General features: G+C 44.2%; 7 annotated features.

Annotated features, from left to right (window-relative positions):
- Positions 1548-2091: an enhancer, noted in NCBI's record as "H3K27ac-H3K4me1 hESC enhancer chr5:151120262-151120805 (GRCh37/hg19 assembly coordinates)". NCBI's record gives its function as "activates a minimal SCP1, AML or CMV promoter by ChIP-STARR-seq in naive H9 embryonic stem cells {active_cell/tissue: H9 hESC(naive)}" and the evidence as "EXISTENCE:reporter gene assay evidence [ECO:0000049][PMID:30033119]".
- Positions 1548-2184: a biological region, named in NCBI's record as "Sharpr-MPRA regulatory regions 4972 and 759".
- Positions 1830-2124: a silencer, noted in NCBI's record as "tiled region #759; HepG2 Repressive non-DNase unmatched - State 13:Ctcf". NCBI's record gives its function as "represses a minimal TATA promoter and a strong SV40 promoter by Sharpr-MPRA in HepG2 cells {active_cell/tissue: HepG2}" and the evidence as "EXISTENCE:reporter gene assay evidence [ECO:0000049][PMID:27701403]".
- Positions 1890-2184: a silencer, noted in NCBI's record as "tiled region #4972; HepG2 Repressive non-DNase unmatched - State 13:Ctcf". NCBI's record gives its function as "represses a minimal TATA promoter and a strong SV40 promoter by Sharpr-MPRA in HepG2 cells {active_cell/tissue: HepG2}" and the evidence as "EXISTENCE:reporter gene assay evidence [ECO:0000049][PMID:27701403]".
- Positions 2041-2090: an enhancer, noted in NCBI's record as "active region_23465". NCBI's record gives its function as "activates an Ori minimal core promoter by ATAC-STARR-seq in GM12878 lymphoblastoid cells {active_cell/tissue: GM12878}" and the evidence as "EXISTENCE:reporter gene assay evidence [ECO:0000049][PMID:35858748]".
- Positions 2350-2644: a silencer, noted in NCBI's record as "tiled region #608; K562 Repressive non-DNase unmatched - State 8:EnhW". NCBI's record gives its function as "represses a minimal TATA promoter and a strong SV40 promoter by Sharpr-MPRA in K562 cells {active_cell/tissue: K562}" and the evidence as "EXISTENCE:reporter gene assay evidence [ECO:0000049][PMID:27701403]".
- Positions 12815-13351: an enhancer, noted in NCBI's record as "OCT4-NANOG hESC enhancer chr5:151109002-151109538 (GRCh37/hg19 assembly coordinates)". NCBI's record gives its function as "activates a minimal SCP1, AML or CMV promoter by ChIP-STARR-seq in primed H9 embryonic stem cells {active_cell/tissue: H9 hESC(primed)}" and the evidence as "EXISTENCE:reporter gene assay evidence [ECO:0000049][PMID:30033119]".

Raw genomic sequence — 16205 nt, 5'->3', positions numbered from 1 at the left:
TGCTCACATGTAGGTGGTTATGCTTACTTGGGTTGGAGTTTTGAGAGTTCCCACCTGGGAGTCAGACACCCTGTAGATTCTGATTCTTTGCTGTGTGATCTTTAGCAAATCACTTCCCCTCTCTGGGCCTCATTTTTTCCTCACCTATAAAGTGGAGGCATTGACCCAGAACAGTGATCCCCTTTCTTTTCACCAGTTTCATAGACTCTATATTTTGAAAAAATTTGTCTATCAAGTGAATTGCACAAGAGATTATCAAATGTTAAGCAAGTGGAATAGTAGGAAGAGGCTGTGGAGACAAACTGCCTGGGATAGAGTTCAAGCTCCAGTACCTCCTAGCTGGGCCACTTAACCTCTCAGTGTCCACAGACAAAATGTGATGATAGCATCTACTGCAAATGGTGGTTGTGGGGATTAAATGAAATGAAACATGTAAATTAATTACAGCAGTGATTGCTGGTTAAAAAATCACTCAGAAAATATTAGTGATTCATTTTTGGCTTTTTGTTTGTTTGTTTTGAGATGGGGTTTCACTCTGTCACCCAGGCTGGAGTGCAGTGGCGCAATCAGGGCTCACTGCAGTTTTGACCTCCCGGGCTCAAGCAATACTCCCACCTTAGCCTCCCAAGTAGCTGGCACTACAGGCACATGTCATCATGCCCAGTTAACCTTGTTTTTTTTTTAGTTTTTTTCTAGAAATGGGGTTTTGCTATGTTGCCCAGGTTGGTCTTGAACTGCTGAGCTCAAGCAATCCTCCTGCCTTGGCCTCCCAAAGGGGCTTGAACTCCTGCCCTCAGGTGATCCACCTGCCTCAGCCTCCGAAAGTTCTGGGATTACAGGCATGAGCCACTGCACCTGGCTGCCACTCATTTTTAAAATATTTCATTAGTCAAAAATCTGTCAAAATGGCCATTTGAATTCCAGTCAGGCTAAGTCAGGCTGAGACTAGTCAGGTTGGAATGCAGTGGCATGATCATAGCTCACTGTAACCTCTAACTTCCGGGATCAAGTAATCCTCCTGCTTCAGCCTCCTGAGTAGATCTTATATACTCTTAAAAATTTTTGAGGATCTCGGCTGGGTGCAGTGGCTCACGTCTGTAATCCTAGCACTTTGGGAGGCCGAGGCAGGTGGATTACCTGAAGTCAAGAGTTTGGGACCAGCCTGGCCAACATGGTGAAACCCCGTCTCTACTAAAAATACAAAAGTTAGTCGGGCGTGGTGGCACATGCCTGTAATCCCATGTACTCGGGAGGCTGAGGCAGGAGAATCGCTTGAACCCGGGGGGTGGAGGTTGCAGTGAGCCAAGATTGCACCACTTCACTGCAGCCTGGGTGAAAGAGTGAAACTCTGTCTCAAAAAAAATTTAAAAATTATTATCAAACAGTTTTGGTTATGTGGGTTATACTACATTAGAAATTAAAACAGGAATTTTTAAAACAAAAATACCCAGGCACACATCCCATTAGTCATTAGGACTAGATGAAGTCACTGCATTCCTTTAGACTCTAGAAAACTTTACCGTACAATTGTTAAGGAGGAAAAGGCATCTTACAGAAGCTTTTAAATTGAACCTCATGTGCCTTCTGAAAGGCTCTTGGGGGTCACATGTTGAGAATCACCACTTTAGCCATTTATTGGGCACTTACTGGGGACCCAGGGCTGCTGGAGACTGGAATAAGATCTGGCTCTGCATTTGACCAGCTCAGACATGGAAGCAGCCACCTCATCTATCTCATGGACAGTTTCCTCATCTGCCCAATGCATAATTGCTGCACCTCGGGGAACTGAGTAGCCAGAAATAACACTTTATTTCAACTCTAAACTGGTTGCAAGCATAATTTCCATCCCTTTCTATCCCATTATGAAAGTACTAAACAAATCTCAGGGCCATTTCTGCCTTCGTGGCCCCTCCGGGGTGCAGGGACTCCTTCCCAGCCCACCAGGTAAATGTGTTTCTTGACCACCAGATGGCAGTGTCTCCTGGACTTGACCATCCACAGAGACGTTTAAGACAGTTTCTTCTAAAAAAAAGTTTCTCTGGGCTCTGAGAGAACAAACTTGAGGATTTTTTCCATTTTCAGTTGCCCTAGGAGGTCTGGCTGGCCCACTGGGAACGCCCAAGAGTTGAGACACTGGTGTCTCTTAGAGTGAGTGCTTCTCAGAGGGGTTCATTTCCTTTGAGTTCTCTCTATACCACCACCCCCAGCTGAAATCCAAGTTTCTAGCTGAGGCACTTGGCTCTGTTCTTCCAAGGCCACAGAGGCATTAGGGAAGCTCCCACGCCTGCCATCAGCCCAGCTGGCTGTCCACGGAATGAATGAATCACACAGCGGAGCTCAGGCTTCTGCAGGGGTGGGGGTGGGGAGCAGACGTGGCCACGTATTTCTCCGAGGCTTCCCTGTGCACTTGGCCCCAGCCCACCCTTCCAGGCTTTCTCACTCCTCGCTGCAGCCAGCCAGCCCGCTCCTCAGGTGCCTTGCTTTTATTCATGCTGCCTGCCCCCTGTAAGCGGAATGATCTCCTCCACCAGCCTCCCTTGTCTCCATATACAAATTCCTTTCCCTCCCTTGCATACCACAGCCTCCATGAAACCTCTCCACAGCTGGAAGTAATTTATTTCTCCTCTTGGCCCTCAAAGCATTTATCACACAAATTTCAGTGTTGTGGCAAAGCTTTCTGTCCACGTATCTTTCCTGGCCTCGAGGATCAGCCCAAGTATCTGTTCCCTCTGCACACAGAGCAAGGACTTAGGGGATATTTGATAGATGAGTAATGGCTACTATTTGGGGGATGCCTATTTAGTGTGTCATGCCCTTGCATTTATCTCATTCCATCCTTACCTAGACTGCATAAGATAGTGAGCTAGGACAGACCCTCACACATGGTAGATGCTCAGTAGGTGTTGGTCCAGATAATTTGACAAAGGAAGAGATTGTCTCTTCTAATCTTTCTAGCAGGTTTATATTTTTGTCAAAGATTCCTGGTTGTGAGTACAGCCTACCCTAGGGTGTTCCCAGTAACCAGCCCTTGTTTCTGGGCTTGATGGGGTGAAGCTCCCACCAACTTTGCCTTGTTGACCTACCCATTTGCCTGGTGGCCAGAGCCCGGGCTTGTCCAGTACCCACATTACCATGACTGGAGAGAAACCACCTGGCCCTCAGTACAGGGTGAAGCCTGGGGGCTGTATGTGGGGGAGGCTTCCTTCCTCACAGTGGTGTGAGCCACAGGGGGAGCTCTGGCCTGGCCTGGCTCCCCATCAGCGTGCTGAGTGAGCTTGAGCAAATCTTTTGAATTTTGAAGTGGGGTGTGTGTGTGTGTGTGTGTGTGTGTGTGTGTGTTATTGTTGTTGTTTTTCTTTTTCTGAGACAGGGTCTCTGTTACTCAGGCTGGAATGCAGTGGCACAATCTCCATTCACTGCAATCTCCGCCTCCCGGGCTCAAGCAATCCTCCCACCTTAGCCTCCCAAGTAGCTGGGACCACAGGCACACACCACCATGCCCAACTAATTTATATATATATATATATTTAGAGACGAGGTTTCACCATGTTGCCCAGGCTGGTCTCAAACTCATGTGATCAAGCGATCTGCCCACCTCAGCCTCCCAAAGTATTGGGATTACAGGCATGAGCCACCACACCCAGCTGAAGTTTTTTTTTAACTGCTTTTTTGAGGTGTAATTTCATTCAATAAACTGCACATATTTAAAGTGTAAACTTTTTTTTTGCTATCTCCTACCTAAAGAATAAAGTGTATAATTAAGATACATACATATCTAACACACACACACACACACACACACACTCATGAAACCATCACCACAATCAAGATAGTGACCATATTAATCACCTAAAAAGTTTCCTGGCACCTCTTGGTAATCCCTCCCACCCTCTCCTTGCCCCCAAGTAAGCACTGATCTGCTTACTGTCACTATTGATTAGTTTGCATTTTCTAGAGTTTTATATAGATGCAATCACACGGTATGCTCCATTTTTGTCTAGCTTTTTCATTCAGCATAATTATTTTGAAATGTTATCTTTTTATCACTGAGTAGTAAGTATTCCGTTGAATGAATATACCAGAAGGTGTGATTCATTCCTCTGTTGAAGGACATTTGTTTCCAGTTTTTTTAACTGCTCTGGTGCTATCAAGCTTTCCAAGGGCCCTACAGGGCACAAGGGGAAGTCTCAATGAGCTGGCCTCTTCGAAACCAACACACCCAAACCCAAACCGAGGCAGCTTAACTCATCATTTTATTTGTATCTTTTAATTTGTTTTTATTTTTTAGAGATGGGGCCTTGCTCTTTGGCCCAGGCTGGAATGCAGTGGTGCAATTACGGCTCACTGCAGCCTTGAACTCCTGGGTTCAAGTGATCATCCCTCCTTGGCCTCCCGAAGTGCTGGGATTACAGACGTGAGCCACTGTGCCTGGCCCAACTCACAGTTTTATCTACTGGGCTTCCTCCTACAGCCCCAGTGGTACTAAGCCACGTTCTGGACTTCAGCAGATCCGGATTTAAATTCCTTCACCACTTAAAAACTGTGTGACCTTGGGAAAGTTCCTGATTCTTTTGTGCAACTCAGTTTCCTTATCTGGAAAATGGAGGTCATAACAGTACTCTGACCATGGTGAGAATTAAAGATCTTCATGTGCCTCATTCTTGATAATGACATTCCACAAATAAAACTTTCTGTTTGGCCAAAAAGTCACAATTATACGACTTGAAGTTTGAAAACTGAAGTCTGAAAAATTTCAGATCTAGATTCTTTCAACCCTGGCAGATTAAGAAAAGTAAAATGGAACCTCAAGATTGTGCCATGTGGGAGGTGAATGGTTGTTCAGGTCACCGCCCTCTCCATGACTTTCGCCTTTAATTAGTGCCAGTCTCTAAAAGACCCAAGTCTGTAATTTCTTGGGAGTGCCCATCAGAGCTTCTTTTAGATTTCCATGTCTTTAAGGGCTGTGGCCACTTAGTTTAAGAAGACAAGTTTTCTAATCTGCTTCTTCGGAGAAGGAAAGTCTTCATGTCCCTAGGTAAATCTCATGACTGCTGACTAGGGCCTTGCAATAAAATCAAAGCCTCTAAAAATAAGGATGTCACCTCCCATTGGTCTGTTTATCATGGGCTCCAAGGATCTAAATCCCCGGATGCCTAGAAGTAGGCTGTATGTTGCATAAGAATGCTGGCTCTGCAGATAAACAGACTGTTTACCAGATGTGTGAGCTTGAGCAAATAGCTTAACTGTCCAGGACAAATTAGCTGGGCATGGTGGTAGGTGCCTATAGTCTCAGCTGCTAGGGAGGCTGAGGCAGGAGGAATACTTGAGCCCAGGAAGTCACGGCTGCAGTGAAGTATGATCACACCACTGCACTCCAGCCTGTGTGACAGAGCAAGACACCATCTCTGAAAAATAAATAAATAGAACTGTCCAGGACCTCGGTTTTCACACCTGTAAGGTGAGAGTAATACCTTCTTAGGGTGAAGTGAGATGACGCGTGCACATAGAAGGAGCTCAGTTTCGCTATTGTTATTATCATTGTTGGATCTTAGGAACAGATGTCCCCATGCCCTCCTTCTGATGGGTGGTCCGTGAGCCTTCCTTCACCTGCACAGCAGCCCTGACCCTGAAAGGGAGCACTGCGAGCTGCTGGCTCTGCTCTGGACAGCTCTGTCAGGGGAAGTTCTGATGTTGAACCCACCCTTATCTATCTCCCTGGCAGTTCTCTGGACGGGGGCTGGGTTTGTCTTGATATGTGGGGCATCAGCCTAGCCCTTCCCTATGGTGGTTCCTCAGAGGCAGGTCTTTCCCTTTGTCCTCGCTACTACTCCCTTTCTGCTCTACCTCCCAAGGCAGATCCCAAATTCCCTCCCTCAGCCATTCCTTGGAGACAGAGTTTTGAATGAGTATGACCACCTGGTCACTAGTCCCTTTGTTGATGCCTTTTTGAGAGTGGAAGCTGAGAAAACATGGAAAAGCCAAACCATTCTGGGCCTCCACTGATCCTATGCCAGCTCACAGGTTCCTGACTTAGTAAGGAGAGAGCTTACTGAGGGAAGTTACTGAAGGATGGCTGGAGGTGAAAGGTTAAGGCTGGGAGCACAGCCTGGAATCACACAGAGGGAACCCAGGTGGGCTACTCCCTCTGTTCTTATCTGGGGAATGTGGCTCTGGATGGTACCTACATTGGAAGTAACGCAAATAAAGCACCCAGCGTGGTAGGAGCTCAACAAAGCCTGTCTTCTCTGTTATGTTTTTGTTTTGAGACAGGGTCCCACTCTGTCACCCAGGCTGGAGTGCAGTGGTGTGATCATGGCTCATTCATTACATCCTTTACCTCCTGGGCTCAAGTGATCTTCCTATCTCAACCTCCCAAATAGCTGGGACCATAGGTGCATGCCATCACACCTGGCTAATTTTAAATTTTTTTTATGGAGATGATGGGGTCTTACTTATGTTATCCAGGCTGCTCTCAAACTCCTGGGCTCAAGCAATCCTCCCACCTCAGCTTCTCAAAGTGCTAGGATTACAGGCGTCAGCCACCGCACCTGGCCTGGCTTCTCCATTTTACACCTTTGAGAACGTGTCCCTGGATCTTACAACTTTGTAAAAGGACTGAGCCTGCTAGGGCAGGCTACTTCCAACATCAAGCCTGGCCCCTACATTTTCCTCAGTCACTGCCCCTTCCAGAGTCCAATTTGGTGACAACCCTCATTGAAGCACTGGTTTGTGGGTATATGACTTCTTTTTTACCAAAACAAAAGCTGTGCCTCTCCCTATGTTCCTACTAATTAGAGAGGCCACTAAAGCCATTGAGATGGCAAGGAGGGCTGGAAGTGGAAGGTTAAGGCTAGAAGAACAGCCCAGAGTCTCCAAAAGCTCAAATTCACCACGCCCCACCACCCACTACCCTGAGAGCTGAGAAACCCTCCTACTGCCACCTCAAGCCTCTGCCTCTGCCTCTGACCAAACCTCCAGAGATGTCAGGGGCCTTGGGAATTCCAGAGTGTTAGAAGTGGACAGTCCTTTTGAAATCAAAAGTCCTACTGCCTCTTTTTTTGTAGTTATTAATGCAAATACCTAATTTACTATATTACAGGATAACTGTAAAAAATTAAAATAATTTTATTTGTGTGACACCCTCCCCCATAGTCTCCATATGACAAAGAAAATTCTCTCTTACAGTTTGGAGTATATCCTTTTTAGGCTTCTGTAAATAAATACAATATAAGTAAAGCTAAATGGTGATATATGGTAGTGTTTCATATAACTCAGGTTCCAGAGTTAGACTAGCTCCATATTTTATTGACAAGTTATGTAACCCATCTAGCCCATTGTTTCCTTAACAGTAAATTGAGGATAATAGCATTTACCTCATAGGGTAGTTCTCAGAATTAAATGAGATAATCCAGGGAAATCATTTTGCACAGAGGGTAGCATGCTGTAAGCACTCAATAAGTGCTAACTAACCATTTTATTAGTATCGATGTTTTATTACCTGCTTCTTTCACTAACTGAATAGTTAATGGACACATTTTCATATCAAATTTTATTTCATTTCAGAGCAACATTGATCCCCTTTTTTAAAAAAAAAAACTTTTAATAATTTTTTTTTTTTTGGTAGAGATGAGGGGTCTCACCATGTTACCCAGGCCAGTCTTGAACTCCTGGGCTCAGGCAATTCTCCCACCGTGTCCTCCCAAAGTGCTGGGATTACAGGTGTGAGCCACTGCACTCAGCAAATTTTATTTTGGAATAATCTTAGATTTACAGAAAACTTGGAAAGATAGTACAGAGAGTTTCCATATATCCTTCACTTAGCTTCCTCTGATGTTAATGTGTTATATGACTATGACATATTTGTCAAAACTAAGATCTAATTGGTACATTGGTACCAAAGCTCCTTGGCACATTGGTTTTTGTTTTGTTTGAGATGGAGTCTCACTCTGTTGCCCAGGCTGGAGTGCAGTAGAGTGATCTTGGCTCAACTGCAACCTCTGCCTCCCAGATTCAAGCAATTCTCCCGCCTCAGCCTGCCTGGCTAATTTTTTTTTTTCTTTTTTTAAGACGGAGTCTTGCTCTGTCACCAGGCTGGAGTACAGTGGCGCTATCTCGGCTCACTGCAACTTCCGCCTCCCTGGTTCAGGCTATTCTCCTGCCTTAGCCTCCCGAGTAGATGGAATTACAGGCACGCACCACCATGCTCAGCTAATTTTTGTATTTTTAGTAGAGACAGGGTTTCACCATGTTGGACAGGATGGTCTTGATCTCCTGACCTTGTGATCCACCCACCTCGGCCTCCCAAAGTGCTGGGATTACAACCGTGAGCCACCACTCCCGACCTAATTTTTGTATTTTTAGTAGAGATGAGGCTTTGCCATGTTGGCCAGGCTGGAATCGAACTTGTGACCTCAGGTGATCTGCCCATCTCGGCCTCCCAAAGTGCTGGGATGACAGGTGTGAGCAACTGCTTGGCCGGTACAGTGTCAACTGGACTCCAGATGTTATTTGGATTTTACCAGCTTTCTCATAAGTGTTCTCTTTCTGGCCACAGATCTAATCCAGGGTACCACATTGCCTTTAGTCATCAGGTCTCCTTCATCTCCTCTGACCTTTGAGAGTTTAGCAGTCATTTCTTGTTTTTCATGACTTTAATAGTTGTGAAGACTATTGGCCAAGTATTATATAGCCTGTCCCTCTAATTTGGTTTGTCTGGCATGTTTCTCACGATTAAACTGGAGTTGGGGGAGGAACATACACAGAGGTAAAGTCTCCATCTTATTTCATTGTCTCAGGGGGTGCATAGATACTGACATGATCTATTACTGATGATGTTAGGGTTCCTGGCAAACTCCTGGCCATGAGGTTCCTGGAAAACTCTCAAAGATCAGAGAAGATTAAGAAGACCTGATGACTAAACCCGATGTGGTACACTGGATTGGATCTGTGTCCAGAAACTTACCATTTTTTCCTTTTCATTCTCTATTCTCAGGAAGCAAGTCACTAAGTCCAGCCATATTCAAGGGTGCATATGGAAATAAACTCCACTCCCCGAAGGGAGAAATATGTTGTCTGGAATTCTAAGAAGATTTGTCCCTTCTTGCCCATTTAAGTGACTGGAAAGTATTTATTGGTTACAAAAATACTGATTTTAGTGGCTGGAAAGCATTCCACTGTGCAAATGCACCTTAATTTGTTTAGCTAATTTATACAGAGTGGTGCATGCATATAGTTCACCGGCACTACACATCAATTCCAACCTCTTTCCTGTGTGCTTTCCCACATATGAGGCTGGAAGGCCAAGCCCCACGTGAACCTAATTTCCTGGTAGTTAAGTTTCTCATTGAAATTAGGTTTCACTGGCCGGGCGCGGTGGTTCACGCCTGTAATCCTAGCACTTTGGGAGGCCGAGGCAGGTGGATTGCCTGAGTTCAGGAGTTCGAGACCAGCCCGGGCAACACAGTGAAATCCTGTCTTTACTAAAATACAAAAAATTAGCTGGGCATGGGGGCATAAGCCTGTAATCCCAGCTACTCGGGAGGCTGAGACAGGAGAATCGCTTGAACCCAGGAGACGGAGATTGCAGTGAGCTGAGATCGTGCCACTGCATTCCAGCCTGGGTGACAGAGCAGAACTCCATCTCAAAAAAAAAAAAAAAAAATTAAGTTTCATTGATTAGGTTCACTCCTGCTAGATTTGGAAGGTGGAAATCAGGAAAAGCCATTGTCCCACAGATTTTGGCTGTTCCAGCCCAGCATGGAGACATTGGTTATTTGGCAGCAGTGTTCCCGTGTCTAGTCACTAGTTTCGTACGTGTTGAGAGGTGCTGGTGGCTGTGATTTCCTGACCCCTTGGATCACAGCCATGGCAGTGCCTACTTGAACTTCATAGTCCAGCAGCCACCCTCTGCTTCCCTGCCCTCCTGATGGGGCAATGTGGCTGCCCCTCTGGTAGCCAGTTCACCTATACTGCTCTGAGAGTCATAATGCTGGAAGCTCAGCCTCAGCCCCTTCCTCCTGCCCTTCCAATCCTTTTGTAAGCACCTGATGAAGTCCCTTTCTGAGCTCAGGTCGTGCCTGTGCCCCACAACTGAACTCAGATGGATAGAATGATCTATTAATAGGTTGTTTCCAGAACTTATTAAAGTGTATATGGTCTGGTATCAGGTAACTCAGTATTTCCTAGGAATAAAATCCTACAAGTGGAACTGTTAGAGCCCTTTCACTGTGCATATGGCTAAAGTAAAGCAACAGAGAAGTGCAGGTACTTGTCTGAGTTCACATAGGGAAATGGGAGCAGCTTGGGGTGCTCCTTCCATTAATTCATGCTGCTTTGTCATGGTCATTAAACACCCCTGGCGTTTTTCAGGTGAAGAGGACCAACTCAGTTTATTCAAATAACTTGTGAGAGAGACTGCTAATTTTCTATTCAAAAGTCTTTCGGCCGGGCACAGTGGCTCATGCCTGTAATCCCAGCACTTTGGGAGGCCAAGGCTGGCGGATCATCTGAGACCACCCTGACCAACATGGAGAAACCCTGTCTCTACTAAAAATACAAAATTAGCTGGGTGTGGTGGCGCATGCCTATAATCCCCGCTACTTGGGAGGTGAGGCAGGAGAATCGCTTGAACCTGGGAGGTGGAGGTTGTGGTGAGCCGAGATCGCGCCATTGCACTCCAGCCTGGGCAACAAGAGCAAGACTCCATCTCAAGAAGAAAGAGAGAGAGAGAGAGGGAGGGAGGGAGGGAGAGAGAGAGAGAGAGAAAGAAAAGAAAGAAAGAAAGAAAGAAAGAAAGAAAGAAAGAAAGAAAGAAAGAAAGAAAGAAAGAAAGAGAAAGAAAGAAAGAAAAAGGAAGGAAGGAAGAAAAAGGAAGGAAGGAAGGAAGAGAGAAGGAAAGCCTTTCATCCCCTTTTCCTTAGTAATTTATGGCTGGGCACATGGCAACCTAAAATAAAGACGACATTCCCTAGTTTCCTGTTCCCCTAAGTGTGACATATAACTAAGTTCTGGCTAATGCGATGCAAATAAATTCCAGAAAGACTCCTTAAAATGAGCTGATGCAATTAGAAGGCCCTCACCATTCTTTATTCTTCCTCCTGCCTGAAATAAGGATGTAATCTAGTAGCCGTATCAGGCCATGATGTCACCTTCCTTAGCACTTGAAGCCGTGGCCTAAGGATAGTACCTGGGTCTCCAAAGATTATTCTTCTTATTATTATTAATTTATTATTTTTTAGAGATGGGGGTCTCACTCTGTTGCCCAGGCCAAAGTGCAGTGCTGAGGGCATAGCTCACTGCAACCTCAAACTCTTGGGCTCAAGTGATCCTCCTGCCTCAGCCTTTAGAGTAGCTGAGACTACAGGTATGCACCATGGCACTTAGCTAGAAGATGATGGATTCTATACATGAGCCTTAAACTATTTCCAGATTTTGTTTCTATGTGAGAATGAAATAATCTTCATTTTTGTTACAGCTACTGTTACTTTGAGCTTACTGGTATATACATACAGCTGAACCTAACACTAACTGATACATAAGCTTGTGCTTCCCTGATTTCTTCCACCCACCTGCCATATGCTTGCTTTCATTTGCCCATAATACCAAGATACGCAGGCCTAAAGTCAAGATTGGGATCTGCAGCAGTTGCTTTCACAAGGTCCTGGTTTTTTTGGTGTGTGTGTGTGTGTGTGTGTGTGTGTGTGTGTGTGTGTGTGTGTTTGTGTGTGTGATCTTGAGCCACTTTAACCGCCTGGGTCTCAGTTTCCACAACTTTAAAAGGAAGGGGTTAGGCTGGACATGATGGCTGATGCCTGTAATCCCAACACTTTAGGAGGCCAAGGCAGAAGGATTGCTTGAGGCCAGGAGTTCAAGACCAGCCTGGGCAACATAGTGAGACCCCAACTCTAAAAAAATTTTAAAAATTAGCCAGGTGGTGGCACCTGCCTGTAGTCCTAGCTACTCAGGAGGCTGAGGTGAGAGGATTGCTTGAACCCAGGAGACTGGGGCTGCAGGAAGCTATGATCACACCACGGCACTCAGCCTGGGTGACAGACTGAGACCTTGTCTCAATAATAATAATAATAATAATAAAACAAATGAAGGGGTTGGTCTAGATCAAAGATTGGCACACGACAGCCTGCAGGCCAAATCAAGCCACCATCTGTTTTTGTAAATAAAGTTTTATTGAAACACAGTCATATTCATTTTTGTATTATCTATGGCTGCTTCCACACTATAACAGCTGAGTTGGAGAATGGCAACGAAGACCATTTGGCCCACATAGCCTAGACTGTTTACTATTTTGCCCTTTTCAGAAGAAAATTGTCTGTCCATTGTTGCGGGAAGTCACAGACCCTGAATGGAGAGACCGGCTGAAGCCGCGGCAGAAGAACATAAATTGTGAAGATTTAATGGACATTTATCAGTTCCCAAAATTAATACTTTTATAATTTCTTACGCCTGTTTTTACTGCAGTCTCGGAACATAAAGTGTGAAGATTTCATGGACATTTATCACTTCCCCAATCAATACCCTTGTGATTTCCTATGCTTGTCTTTACTTTAATCTCTTAATCCTGTCATCTTCATAAGCTGAGGATGCATGTCACTTCAGGACCCTGTGATGACTGCGTTAACTGTACAAATTGTTTGTAAAGCATATGTGTTTGAACAATATGAAATCAGTGCACCCTGAAAAAGAACAGAATAACAGCAATTTTCAGGGAACAAGGGAGATAACCATAAGGTCTGACTGCCTGCGGGGTTGGGCAGAATAGAGCCATATTTTTCTTCTCACAGAAAGCCTATAGATGGATGTGCAAGTAGGAGAAATATCGCTGAATTCTTTTCCCAACAAGGAATATTAATAATTGATAGCCCTGGGGAAGGAATGCATTCCTGGGGGAGGTCTATGAATGGCCGCTCTGGGAATGTCTGTCTTATGCGGTAGAGATAAGGACTGAAATATGCCCTGGTCTCCTGCAGTGCCCTCAGGCTTGCTAGGACTGGGAAATTCCAGCCTGGTGAATTCTAGTCAGACCAGTTGTCTGCTCTCGAACTCTGTTTCCTGTTAAGATGTTTATCAAGACAATGCATGCACAGCGGGACACAGACTCTCATCAGTAATTCTAATTTTGCCCTTGCCTTGTGATCTTTTATTGCCCTTTGAAGCATGTGATCCTTGTGACCTACTCCCTGTTCGTACATCCCCTCCCCTTTTAAAATCCCTAATAAAAACTTGCTGGTTTTGTGGCTTGGGGTTGCCATCACAGTCCTACCAATATGCGATGACACCCCCGGAGGCCCAGCTGTAAAATTTCTCTCTTTGTACTCTTTCTCTTTATTTCTCAGACTGGCCGACACTTAGGGAAAATATAAAGAACCGAAATTGAAATATTGGGGGCTGGTTCCCCCAATAATCCATGGTCTAGATCAGTGATTTCAAACTGTTCTACAGAGACCTAAGGCTCTGTGCAGGTACCTCAGGGAAAAGGGAGGAACTGAGAGTGGGGCTCCAACCCCTGGCATCTTCCTACCAAGACTACACCTCTTATTTGTTGAAATTAACTAGTTGAGGCCAGTCACGGTGGCTCATGCCTGTAATCCCAGCACTTTGGGAGGCCGCGGCGGTGGATCACCTGAGGTCAAGAATTCAAGACCAGCCTGGCCAACATGGTGAAACCCTGTCTCTACTAAAAATACAAAAATTAGCCGGGCATGGTGGCATGTGCCTATAATCCCAGCTACTCCAGAGGCTGAGACAGGAGAATAGCTTGAACCCGGGAAGCAGAGGATGCAGTGAGCCAAGATCACATCACTGCACTCCAGCCTGGGCAACAAAGAGTGAAACTCCATCTCAAAAAAAAAAAAAAAAAGAAATTAACTAGCTGGATTTTATTTAAATATTTTATTATGGAAGTTTCCAAAAATATCTGAAAGTAAAGTGAATAATATCATGAACCCCATACACTCATCTCCCAGCTTCAAGAATTACCAAGTCATAGCCGGTTTCGGTGCATCTTCCACTGCCCGCCCCCACCCCACACAGGGTTATTCTGAAACAAACACCAGCATCATTTAATTTTATTATTGTATTTCTTTTTTCTTTTCTTTTCTTTCTTTCTTTTTTTTTTTTTTTTTGAGATGGAGTCTTGCTCTGTTGCTCAGGCTGGAGTGCAGTGGCGCAACCTTGGCTGACTGCAACCTCTGCCTTCTGAGTTCAAGCAATTCTCTTGCCTCAACCTCCTGAGTAGCAGGGGCTACTGGCACACACCACCACACCCGGCTAATTTTTGTATTATTGTATTTCTTCTGAGAGATAGGATTTAAAAAAAAAACCTATCCATCATGACACCTAAAAGTTAATACAAATTTCTTAATATCATAAAATATCCAGTGCTCAAATTTCCTCTATTGTTATTTATTTATTCTTTTCTTAAGCCCTTGGTTTGTTCAAATCAGGATGCAAACAAAGTCCATACATTGCATTTGATTGATGTTTCTTAAGTCTTTCAGTCTGTAGCAACCCTACTCCTGCCCTTTTTTGTTTTTCTCCGCAAATTATCTGTTGAGGAAGTTGGGTCTTCTGTGCAGGAGGGTCTTCTGTAATTCTGGATTTTACTGAGTGCACCCCATAATGCAATGTGTTCCTTAGTCCCCTCAAGTTCCTGTAAAATGGTGGTTAGGTTTATACTTCATCAGAACCACCTTTGATTTTTTGCTGACAATCTTTCATAGACGGTGCTATGAAATCCTCTTATATCATATCAGGCAGCACATAATATCTGCTTGTCTTTCTGTGTGTAATATCAAGATGGATGGATGGATTCAGATGTTGTCAGCCTAGTCCATCCATTATAAACTCCCCATCAGCTCTTCAACTCATGGTTTTAGCAGACATTGATGATTATTGTTGCACCCATTATTTTTTTAATCACAAAAGTCATACATGTAGGCTGAGAATGGTGGCTCACGCCTGTAATCCCAGCACTTTGAGAGGCTGAGATGGGTGGATCACTTGAGGCCAGGAGTTCGAGACCAGCCTGGTCAACATGGTGAAACTCCATCTCTACTAAAACTACAAAAATTAGCTGGGTGTGGTGGCACACGCCTGTAATCCCAGCTACTCGAGAGGCTGAGGCATAAGAATCTCTTGAACCTGCGAGGCAGAGGCTGCAGTGAGCCAAGACTGTGCCATTGCACTCCAGCCTGGGTGACACAGCAAGCGTCTGTCTCAAAAAAAAAAAAAAAAGTCATACATGTAAAATTGTAAAAAAAAAAAACCCAAATATCCATCCAAAGGAGACTGAAAAGATAAAAGCAGTAATTATATCACACTGTATTTATACATCAGGCAATATAGCAGTCAGAATTTAAAATCTAAATATATCATTTGGGGAGGCATACATATGTGTTAAAAGTAAAAAATATGTATAGGAATGATAAACTCCAAATGTAAGGTATTGTTTACTTCTTTTTGTATGGGAGAATGAGGAATAGGACTGGGTTTCAATTATATATATGATTCAATCATATATATATATATATATATATATATATATATATATATATATATACACACACACACACACACACACATTTTGTTTATTAACAGAGGTCTGTCTGAACTATTTATTGCAAAATGTTAAGATTTGTCAAAGCCAGAAGGTGTTAACTTTATCTCTGTAGTTTCTTTGTAAGTTTAAAATATAATTTTTTAAAAAAGGACTTGACATATAAACATGGAAAATATTGCCAACTCAAAAGGATGCATAATAAAAAATATATTCTGTTCATTTCAGACCCATGGTTCTCCTCCTCGGAGACACTGATTATTACCCATTTCATATGCATCTTTCAGGAATTGTCTATGTAAATGAAAGACTTAATATCCAAAAGAGCTGCTCCTTTCAGAAAAACCACTTTAAAACATTTTTCATTTTTCGGGACTTGCTCTATTGCCTAGGTGCAGTGATACAATCATAGCTCACTGCAGCCTCAAACTCCTGGGCTCGAGCAATCCTCCCACCTCACCCTCCTGCATATTTGGGACTACAGGTACATACCATGCCCAGCTAATTCAGAAAAACCATGAGCCATCTTTACACACATGGACATCTGACTGCACCCACCCATGTGGGAGGCAGCCTATAGACTGAGGCCTTCCATCTGGAGAGTCCACTTTGTGAGCTTTTATTTTGGAGACTC

The sequence above is a fragment of the Homo sapiens genome, chromosome 5 (assembly GCF_000001405.40).
Source record: "Homo sapiens chromosome 5, GRCh38.p14 Primary Assembly".
NCBI classification, from domain to species: domain Eukaryota; kingdom Metazoa; phylum Chordata; class Mammalia; order Primates; family Hominidae; genus Homo; species Homo sapiens.
The sequence above is the reverse complement of the archived record's forward strand: the minus strand, read 5'-3'. Positions and strand labels throughout refer to the sequence as shown.